Genomic DNA, 12413 nt, shown 5'->3' with positions numbered 1-12413 from the left:
AATTAAAACAGGTAGGAAAAGTCATTTTATTTTGCTATTCTTAGCCTTTCCCCAGGCTGGCACAGCTCAATGAATTGGGAGAAAACAACCTACTCAGAGCTTCTCCTTTGGGAGGAAAAGAGGAGTGAATGCACATCCAGTGTTCCAGTTTTTCAGGGGGCTGCCTAAGAGACTAGTTTCTGTTTTGCTTAACACAGACTCTAACGGGAAACTGGTATACTTTGGACATCTAGGGCTGCAGAGAACAAAAGAACTTGATGTTTTCTTGCTGTACCGGAGAACCTACAGTACTGTGGAGTGTCACAGAGAAAGCAAGAGAACACAAACTGTTGAAAAAGAAATTAGCAAACTTCTCTAATTGGGAAATTACATGCAAGCCCAGACAAGACACATCTCCAGAGAAGGTCGCAGAGACCCTCAGAATCTCTAGCCAGGCTGACTGGTAAAGGTCTTCCCCTACACAAAGCCAGTCCATTAAGACTGGAAGAGCTGGTTGTTGTAGTTGTTTTTCAAATGCCCAAATCCCAGCAAAAATCAATGCATATGAAGAATCAGGGGAACATGGCCCAATCAAAGGAATAAAATAAATCTCCAAAAGCAGATCAGAAAAACAGATATCTATAAATTACCTGACAAAGGATTCAAAATAACCATCTTAAAGAAGTTTAAAGAGTTAACTGGGTGTACAGACAACCAGCAATAAAAAATAAACCATCCAAAAAATGAAGAATGAATAAAATGAGAATATAAATAGAAACTATTTTAAAAAAGAACCTAACAAATTCTTGAGCTGAAGAATACAACAACTGAATTGGAAGATTTACCAGAGGAGTTTAACAGCACACTTGATCAAGAGCAAAACAGAATCAATGAATTTGAAGATAGGTCATTTGAAATTTTCTAGTCAAAGCCAAAAAAGAAACAAAGAAAGAAACACCATTGAGCAGATCAATATACACATTATGAGAGTCCCTGAGAAAGAACAGTGAGAGAAAGGAGAAAATAATGACTGAAAACTTCCCAAATCTAGGGGGAAAAAGAACATCTAAATTCAAGAAAGTCAATAAACTCCAACTAGGATGAACCTGAAGAGCCTAAACTGAGGCACATTATAATCAAACTGTCAAAATCAAAAACAAAGAGAGAATCTTGAAAAACAGCAAGAGAAAAGTAAGTCATCATGTACATGAAATCTTCCATAGGATTATCAGCAGATTTCTCAGCAGAAAGTTTATACGCCAGAAGGAAGTGAGATAATATACTCAACATGCTAAAAGAAAAAAAAAAGCCAACACAAAATACCATGGCCAAAAAAGCTGTCACTCAAAAATGAAGGAGAAATAAACAAAGGCTGGGAGAGTTCATCCCCACTAGACCTGCCTTACAGGAAATGCTAATGGAAGTCCTTCAAATGAAAGGATCCTAGATATCAATATGAAAGCATATGAAAATGTAAGCTCCCTGGTAAAGGTCAATATATAGACAAATACAGAATTCTGTAATACTGTACTGGTAGGTTGTATGTCATTTTAAATTCTGGTATAGAATTTAAAAGATAAAAGCTTAAAAAATAACTACAATTATAAAACTCTATAAATGGATATGCAATATAAAAGGATATAGTTTGAAAGCTTGATTGGATATGCAATATAAAAAGGTATAATTTGAAAGATTGGTAACAAAGTAGGACGGGGGATGTAAAGGAATTTTATGTGATCAAAGTTAGGTAGTTAACAGTTTAAAATAGATTGTTACAACTATAAGATGTTTTTTGTAATCTCCATAGCAACCGCAAAGAAAATACCTATAGAAGACATACAAAAGAAAATGAGAAAGGAATTAAAGCATGTCACCAAAAAAAAAAAAAAAAAAATCAATGAAACACAAAAGAAGGCAGCAAATAAAAAGGAAAAAGGAAAAGAGGAATAGATAGATACAACATATACAGAATACAGTTAACAAAATGACAACAGAAAGTCTCTCCCAATCAGTAATTGCTTCAATGTAAATGGATTAAATGCCTCAATCAAAAGACAGAATGGCTGAAGGAATTAAAAAACAAGACCTCACTATCTGATGTATACAAGAGATTCCCTTTAGATATAATGGCACACATAAGCTGAAATGAAAGAATGGAAAAAGATATTCCATGCACATAGTAACCAAAAGAGAACAGAGGTAGCTATACCAATATTAGACAAATAGATTTTAAGTCAAAACTGTCAGAAGAAACAAAAAAGGACATTATACAACAATAAAAGGGCCAATTCATAGGGAAGATACAATAAGTATAAACGTGAGGCCCTAAATCGTTCAGGATCTATATCCCTCCTATAAACTAGCCCTAAAACTGAGCTCTGTTGACTCTCACCCTCACAATGTCAACTACCAGCTTATCTTTGCGGGTACAGGACAAGGACAAGACCAGAAATTATCTCTTCACCTACCCTGAGATTAATGCATAATTGACTTTTCCTCTGCTTCCTCTTTTTATGTTTACTTCAACTTATTTAGTAAAATGTAGATTCACTGAGTATGAGATGAATATGTAATTTACTTTTTTCATCTACTCCCTCTTTTGACATGTAAAATGTAGATTTGCTACAAAAAGAGACTTTTGTCAACCTAATAAAGGACATATCATTGGAAAACCAACAAGGATCACATCTAATGATGAAGACTGAATGCTTTCCTCCTGTGAATGAAAACAAGGCAAACTTCTATCTCCATTCCTATTTCACACCATACTGGAATTCCAAGCCAGAGCAATCAGGCAAGGAAAAGAAATAAAGATATCCTGACTGGAAAAGAAGAAATAAAACTGTCCCTGTTCACAAATGAAATTATTGTTTACATGAAAAATCCCAAGAAATAGCATACATACAAACCTCCTACAACTAATGAATGTATTTAGCAAAGTTGTAGAGTACATGTAAAAAAATGGATCATATTTTTATGTGTTAGCAATAAGGAGCTGGAAACCAAATATTTTTTAAATGCTGTTTAAAATAACTCCAAAAATGATATTTAAAACAATTCCAAAAAATTGAAATACTTACATATAAATCTAATAAATATTTATGTAAACAATTAGAGGGTATGCTGAAAACTATAAAATGCTAATGAAATAAAGAGGACCTAAATAAATGAAAAAAACATACTATGTTCAAAATTGGAAGATAGTATTGTGAAGATGTGAATCTTCCCCTAATTAATCTATAAATTTAGCACAAACCTAATCAAAATCCCAACAAGATTTTTGTAGGTAGAACTAAGGTGATTCTAAAGGTATATGGAAAGGCAAAGAAACAAGAATAGCCAAAACAATTTTGAAAAAGAACAGAGTTGGAGGAATCACACTTTTCCACTTCATCAAGGTTTCTATAAAGCTAAAGTAATTGAGATCAAGATAGCATGGTTGGCCGGGAGTGGCTCAGACCTGTAATCCCAGCACTTTGGGAGGCTGAGGCAGGCGGATTGATTGAGGCCAGGAGTTCAAGACAAGACTGGCCAACATGGTGAAACCTCGTCTCTATTAAAAATACAAAAATTAGCCAGGCATGGTGGCATGTGCCTGGAGTCCCAGCTACTTGGGAGGCTGAAGCAGGAGAATAGCTTGAACCTGGGAGGCAGAGGTTGCAGTGACTGAGATTGCACCATTGCACTCCAGCCTGGGCAACAGAGCGAGCCTCAATCTCAAAAATAAAATAAAATAATAAAAAATAAAGACAGCATGGTATTGGCAAAAAGATAAACATGTAGATCAACAGCATAGAATAGACTTCCAGAAATAAACCTACAGAAATATGGCCAACTGATATTTTAATTGAAGTATAACTCACATACAGTAAAATTCACTGACTTAAAGTGTGTAAATTGATGTTTTGACAAATGCATATGCCCACATAACACACCCTGTAACGTGTATTCCCATTTCCATTACTTCAGAAAGTTCTGCTCTGCTGCATATACCCATGGGCAACTACAGTTTTACCAACTGAGTTTTTGATAAATTTGCAGAGGCAATTCATCAGAGAAAGGACAGTCTTCTGAATAAACGGTGTTTGAAGCATTCAAACATCTAAATGCAAGAAAATGAACCTTGACCTAAATCTCATACTGTGTCTGGAGTTGGTTCCTTCTGGTAGGTTCTTGGTCTCACTGACTTCAAGAATTGGGACCTTCGTGGTGAGTGTTACAGCTCTTAAAGATGGTGTGTCTGGAGTTTGTTCCTTCAGATGTATCCAGAGTTTCTTCCTTCTGGTGAGTTCACGGCCTCGCTGATTTCAAGAATGAAGCCGCAGACCTTCGCAGTGAGTGTTACAGCTCTTAAAGGTGGTGCGGACCCAAAGAGTGAGCAGCAGCAAGATTTATTGTGAAGAGTGAAAGAACAAAGCTTCCACAGTGTGGATGGAAGGGACCCGAGCAGGTTGCTGCTGCTGGCTTGGGTGGCCAGCTTTTATTCCCTTATTTGGCCCCATCTATGTCCTGCTGATTGGTCCATTTTACAGAGTGCTGATTGGTGCATTTACAATCCTTTAGCTAGACATAAAGCACTGATTGGTACGTTTTTACAGAGTGCTGATTAGTGCATTTACAATCTTTTAGCTAGACACAAAGCGCTGATTGGTGTGTTTTTACAGAGTGCTGATTGGTGTATTTACAATCCTTCAGCTAGACACAGGAAAGTTCTCCAAGTCCCCACCTGACCCAGAAGCCCAGCTGGCTACACCTCTCAATACCTTATACCAAAATTAACTCAAACTAAGTTACACATTTAAATGTAAAATATAAAATTATAAAATTTTTATAACTAAAGGGGTAAATCATGATCTATAACAGAAAAAATAAATCACACCATCATAATTAAAACCTTGTTTTTAGAAAGACACTGTTAAAAGAATAAAAAGGCAAACTACAGACTGGGAGAAAATATTTACAGATCACATATCCAGCAAAATACTTGCACTCAGAATATATTAAGGACTCTCAAAACTCAATATTGAGAGAACAAGCAGTCCAATTTTTAAAATGAGCAAAAGACCTGAACAGACACTTCACCAAAGGGGACGTAGGGTCGGCAAATAAGCACATGAAAAGATGTTCAGCATCATTGGCCATTTGAAAAATGTAGATTAAAATCATGATAAAATACCCTATACACATATTAGAATGGCTGAAATTTGAAAATACTCTGGCAAACAGTGTGGCAGTTTCTCATAAAGTTACAGGCACATCTACCGGTTGACTCAGCAACCTTACTTCTAGGAATTACCTAAGCATTACAATATGAAAACATATCTGTACCCCAAAACCTGTATAAGAATGATTATAGAAGCTTAATTCTTAATTATCAAAAACTGGAAACAGCCAAATGCTCTACAATGGGTGAAAAACAAAACAAAACAAAACAAAACAAAACGGGTTATGTTCACACAGTGGAATTCTGCTCAGCCATAATAATAATAATAATAATAATAATAATATGTTTACATGCAACAACTTGGATGAGTCTTCGAGGCATTATGCAGAGTGAAAGACGCCAGTCTCAAAAGATTATATACGGTAGGATTTCATTTATGTGACCTTGTGGAAAAGACAAAACTTTGGTGATGGGTAACAGGGTAGTGCTTGCTAAAGGTTAGTGTTACGGGTGGGACTAGGGATATTGACTACAAAAGGATGACATGAGGGAGTTCTCTGGGGTGACGGAACTGTTTTGTATTCTCATTATGGCAGTGGTTACATAAATGTATACATGTGTCAAAATTCATAGAACTGTACTCACATACAACGTCAATTTTACCATATGTTTATTTAAAAAGTAAAATTTTAAGAAGTTAAAACAAATAAATAAAATGTAGATGTGCTGAGCACTAATCAGAGCCTCATTTTTGCTATTTCCCCTTTAAATACTGAAGTTCCCAAAATGCTCTTTGGAAAAGCACAGGGCACAAATGCTACTGTGACCCATGTTTTTCTTGGGCATGTCCTCAAACTTTGGCTAAATAAACCTCTATCAATTGAGATTCACATTGCAAAACATATAGGATGCAGCAAAAGCAATACTAGGAAGGAATTTTATAGCAGTAAATACCTACGTTAACAAGGAAGAAAGAAATTAACAACCTAACTTTACACCTCAAGGAACTAGAAAAACAAACTAAACCCAAAGTTGCGAGAAAGAGGGAAATAATAAAGACTAGAGTAAAAATAAACAAATTAGAGAATAGAAAAATAATAGAAAAAAACAACAAAAATTGAGTTTTTTTAAAGACCAATAGAATTGATAAATCCTCAGACTAAATATAGAGGATTCAAATAACAAAAATCAAAATGAAAGAGGAGATATTATACCTGATGTCCAAATAAAAAGGATTATAATATATTGCTATGAATAAGCATATGCCAGTAAATTGGATAATCTAAAAGGAATAAATTCCTACAAACATACCATCTACCAAGACTGAATCATAAAGTAATAAACAATCTGAACATAGCAATATAGCAGTTCCCCCTTATACATGGGGAATACATTCCAAGGCCGCCAGTGAATGCCTGAAACCCTGAATAGTACTGAGCCCTCTATATGCCATGTATTTTCCTATACAGTAATGGGGGAGTAGTGTATACGTAGAAATGCTGGACAAAGGGATGATTTAAGTTCTGGGTGGGATGAAATGGGACAGTGGGAGATTTTATCATGCTACTCAGAATGACATGCAATTTAAAGCTTATTGTTTATTTCCGCAATTTTCCATTTAATATTTTCAGATTGCAGTTGACTGCCAGTACCTGAAACTGCAGAAAGTGAACTCTCAGATAATAGGGGAATATGGTAACTGGAAAGGAAACTAAGTAAGTAATCAAAAACCTCCCAATATAGAAAAGCCCCGGACCAGATGGTTTCACTGGAGAATTATATCAAACATTTAAAGAAGAATTGGCACCACTTCTTCTCAAACTCTTACAAAAAAATTGAAAAAGATGGAAAATTTTCAAACTCATTTTTTTGAGGCCAGCATTACTCTGATACCTAAAGCAGACAAAGATACTACAAGAAAACCACAAGGATCCCTGATAAATACTGATGCAAACATTCGTAACAAAATACTAGCAAACCAAATTCAATAGCACATTAAAGTAATTATACATCATGACCAAGTGGGATATATTCCTGGAATGATAGGATGGCTTAACATACAAAAATCAATCAATGTGATATACCACATTAATAAGGGGCTAAAAACCACATGACTGAATTGGTGCCAAAAAAAAAAAAGCACTGAAAAGAATTCAATACCCTTTCATGACAAAAACACACAAAAAATTTCATTAATAGAAAGAAATTACCTCAAGATAACAGAGACCATATATGAAAATCCCACAGCTAACATCAAACTTAATGGTGAAAAACTGAAAGCTTTTCCTTTAAGTTCAGAAACAAGACAGAGGCCCACTCCTGCCACTTCTCGTCAACATAGTACTAGAAGTCCTAACCCAAGCAATTAGGCAATAAATAAATGGCATCCAAATTGGAGTAAAATTATCTCTCTTCACACAGCAAAACAAATAAACCAATCTTAAAATTGGGCAAAGGACTTGAAGAATAGAGACATCTATGTAAAGAAGATATACTATAAATGGCTAACGAGCATCATGAAAATATATTCAACATGACTAAACATCAAGAAAACGCTAATCAAAAACCATAATCACTTCATGCCTGTTAGGATGGCCACTATCAAAACCAAACAAAAACAAAAAACAAAACAGAAAATACCAAGTGTTGGTGAAGAGGTGAAGAAACTGGAACCCTTGTACACTGCTGGGGAGAATATAAAACCATGCAGCTGCTGTGGAAAACAGGACAGCAGTTCTGAAAAAAAGTAAAAGTAGAATTGCCATATTATCCAGCAATCCTGCCCTTAGATATACAGACAGTCCTCAACATACAACAGTTTGACTTACTATTTTCAACTTTACGATGGTGTGAATGTGATATGTATTCAGCAGAAACCATGCTTTAAATTTTGATCTTTTCCCAGGCTAGCAATATACAGTAACATACTCGCTTATGATTCGGGGCAGTGGCAAAGAGCCACCATTTCCAGTCAGCCACATGATCATGAGGGTAAATAACCAAAGCATCAGCCGAGCACACTGACTCATGCCTGTAATCCCAGCACTTTGAGAGGCTAAGGCAAGAGGACCACTTGAGCCCAGGAGTTCCAGACCAGCTGGGGCAACATAGTGAGACCCCATCTCTACAAATAATAAAAAAAAATAGCCAGACATGGTGGCTCATGCCTGTAGTCCCAGCTACTCGGGAGGTTGAGGTAGGAGGATTACCTGAGCCCAGGGGATTGAGGCTGCAGCAAGCTGTGATCACACCACTGCATTCCAGCCTGGGTGGCAGAGTGAGAGACCTTGTCATGATAACCAACATCAAAAACCCACCAATGCAACCATTTTGTTTTTTACTATTGGTACAGTATTTAATAAATTATATGACAATTTTAACACTTTGCTATAAAATTGACTTTGTATTGGAAGATTTTGCCCAACCATAGACTAATGTAAGTGTTCTTAGCATGTTTAAGGTAGGCTAGGCTAAGCTATTGTGCTTAATTGGTTAGTTGTATTGAACGCATTTTCACCTTATGATAGTTTCAACTGATGATGGGTTTTATCAGGACGTAACTGTAAGTCAAGCATCTGTATATTCAAAAGAATCAAAAATAGAATCATGAAGAGATAAGTGCACACCATGTATATTACAGCATTATTCACAATAGCCAAGTTCGTAGAAGTAACCTAAATGTCAACGGATTAACAGATTTTAAAATTTGATATACATATATATATGCAATAAAATATTATTCAGCCTTAAAAAGAAGGAAATCTGGCAATAAGCTACAATATAGATGAACCTTGAGAACATTATGCTAAGTAACATTAACCAGTCACAAAAAAACAAATACTGCATAAGTCTAGTTATATGAGGTATACTTAAGTAGTCGAAATTTTAGAAATAAAAAGTAGAATGGTGGGTGCCAAGTGTTGGAGGAGGGTGAAGACAAGTTACTGTTCAATGGTTAAAGAGTTTCAGGTTTGCAAAATGAGGTTTCCAGAGATCTGTGGCACAACAATGTACACATAGTTATATTTTACTGTACACTTAAAAAATGGTTACTATGGTAACTTTTGTTATGTTTTTATCACAATAACAAAAACCAAATGTATGAAAAATACCCAGTCTTATTGATAATCAAAGATATGCCAATTACAGTGCTAAAAATATTGAGATATTATTTATTTTGACTTTCCATTTAGCAAAGGAAAATAACCAGTGGTGGCAATGGGTGGTAAACTGATAAACCACTGCTGACTCACATGTGAATTTGCTATAATTCTTTTGGAAAGCAATTTGGAAACATATAGAAAAAGCCTTAATAGTAGTTTTACCAATTTACCCTTCCCACTTCCCCAATTAATTCATTCCTTCATTAATGTTTATTTAATATCTATTATGTAACGGTTAGCAGACACAGCACTGAAAAAAAGGTGTGGTCTCTATATGAAATTTATAGCGTGTTGGTAGAAAATAAGTGCTACAAAGTAGACATACAGCAGTCCATTAAACTATACAACAGGAGACTTAATCTAGGATTAGTTTAAGTACCCCAGAAAAGGAGCAGTGTGGAGGAATGGTGACTATACCAAAATGTCCATTTCAGCATTATTAATAAACTATTGGCACTGCAAACATTAAAATGGGCTAACTCTGTAAACTATGGCATAGGCATTTATTGGAGTATTATCCCAATCATTTAAAAAAGTGTTGTCAGTAGCAATCTGGAGTAGTCAATTAGGCTGTTCCCTAATAGTCCAGTCCTGGACATACAGGATTGCGCTTGCCCACCTTCTTTGAAGTTAGCATGGCCACATGACTTGCTTTGGTCAATGAAATATAAGCAAGTGTTATTTCTCTTCTAGAAAGGCTTTAACAGCCAGTGCAAGGATTACCATATTTTCCTATGCTGCTTTGGTGACTGTGAGTGCCTGTGCATGGATGGAGCCTCCCATCAGTGTCAGCATGGAGTCTTCAATTCCAATGAGCAGTTTCCTGTTGATCTACATTATCCATGTAATAAACCTTTGTTGTCTTAAGTCACTAAGATTTGAGGAGTTATGTTACCACAAGCATCTAAATAGTGTTTTTACTCCATGGGAAATATGTCAATTATATTAAATAGTCCATTTAAAAGAATACAATAAAAATCGTATACTCTATAAGTACACCTCTACATTAAAAACATCTTACTCACAGAAAAAAGCCTAACAGTCCATACAAATATTAAAAATAATTATCTTTCCATGGACATGCAGGAAATGTTTCCTAAGTATCCATTCATAGCATGCATTCATGGATTATCACTAATGGGTAAAATACCATTCCTTAAACAGCACAATAAAAAATTTCAGGGGGAATTCTATCATTTAATATTTTCAAAATAGAAGTTTTTCAGAAAGAAGAAATTATCCCTTTGAATGAACATGATCTCCTGAAAAAAACTGAGTCTACTTGGCCAATGTCTGAATCTATTCAGTATATATTTATGCTTACCCACAACTACAACCTAAGAGTCTTGCATCCTGTGTTATTAATAACTAATCTCAAATCCTAAAAAAAAAAAAAAAAATTGTTGCTAAAGTTCTTATTTCTAGATTTCCAGCTTAATATGTAAGTGCTATCAAGCCCCAGAATCCATATCAGCTGCAAATGAATCCAATTAAATATTGCTTTATTTAAAGAATATCATTGACCTGTTTTAAGCTAAGTCACTGGTCAGGAAAAAATGACTTTACTTTTGGCTGTAAAGCCTATTCCCCAGGGAACTTGATTTCTACCACATTCTTCCCACCCCTTTCACCTTTAAGATAATGATATTGTTAACACAAGAAGTTTCCAATTACATTATAATTGTTTGAACAAAGCATTTACGCTCCACTTATCTTACATAATGGTACATAATTCACATCATGGCTGAAAGGCCTCTCCAGGTGCAGTAAAAAGCCTACACCTTAACAATTATGAAATCTTTCTAGTAATTTATAATTTGATCATCTAATTTTTTCTAACTATAAGAAACTCTGATTGTGAATACTTACAACATAAGGCACAAACTCATACCATAATCAACCATGTCCATGATATGATCAACACTGATACCAGCCAACCTACAGCTGCTTTCCTTTAGTATTTGCATAATATTTTTCTATCCTTTTATTTTTTCAAACTTTTATTTCCTTATCTTTTAAATATGCCTCCTGAAAAGTTTTTTCATCCATGTCTTTATCTTTTAATTGCATCATTTAGTCCATTTATATGTAATGTAATTGCTGAAATATTTGTGTTTACATCTACCACTGTGTGCAGTGCTTTTATCCCAATGTTCAAATTTTCCTCCTCCTTTGTTGCTATTGTTTGGCACATCTTTAACCATTAATATGGAAGTTATATGCTCTTCACTATCCTTTTAGGAGTTATCCTAACAATTATAATATGTGTCATTAATAACTTATTAAAGACTAATATTAACATTTCCACTTCTTCCCAGACAATGCGAAGATCTTAGAACTCTTTACCTTTTAGTCCTCTGTAGAATGACGAGATAATTGACAGGATAAGAATCAAAGAAAGAGAAAAGATTGCATATTTTGCTCAGAATTTAAACTCCTGTTCTATCTATGAAAGCAGACTACTGACCTCAAGGAAGAAATGCAAATTCCATCACTACTTATTAAATATGACAGTCAGTATTCACCTTCAGTTCTCAAATGAGCTGGTTCTCATCACAGAAAAAATAAAGCACTTGACCTTCCTGTCTCCAGCTTAAGGTCCAAGATCTTCTTTATTTTTTTTCCTTATCCAAAGCCCTTCCTCTATCCAAATGAAGGGAGGAAAATGCTTCTTGTCACATGCAGGTAGGGGAACACTTCTACCAGGCATTGCTTTGGAACATATTTATCACATCCTACCGCTAATAAGCAGGAATCAGAACACACATTCCCACTCCATCCACAGTTGGGTTCAGTTCCTGCTCCTGCAGCAAAGGAAAGTACTTATGGGTGCTGGATGCAGACTGTATAAGAGGCAAGCCCTCTCTGTGAAGATATAACTTAAGAAATCCAGCAGAATACACGGAGGGAACTTTCATAGCAGTTCACATCACTGAACATGAGGTACTCTAGATACTTTCATAATCAAGAAATCCAACAGCTGAATCACACTCAGAGGACACAGAGTCTGATGCATCAAAATACAGTGATGGCTGCAGTTTTCTTATGTGGCCAAATGACAAAAGAAATGTACATCACTCCTCAGCAAGGCCACTGTTGTACAAGTT

General features: G+C 35.3%; 1 protein-coding gene across 51 annotated transcripts in view; it reads right to left on the bottom strand.

Annotated features, from left to right (window-relative positions):
* The window catches only part of RGS6 (regulator of G protein signaling 6), a 762695-nt gene that overhangs the window by 588343 nt on the left and 161939 nt on the right, over positions 1-12413 (bottom strand). The window lies entirely within an intron of this gene.

This window comes from Homo sapiens, chromosome 14 (genome assembly GCF_000001405.40).
Source record: "Homo sapiens chromosome 14, GRCh38.p14 Primary Assembly".
Classification (NCBI taxonomy): Eukaryota; Metazoa; Chordata; class Mammalia; order Primates; family Hominidae; genus Homo; species Homo sapiens.
This window is presented reverse-complemented; position numbering and strand designations above follow the sequence as displayed.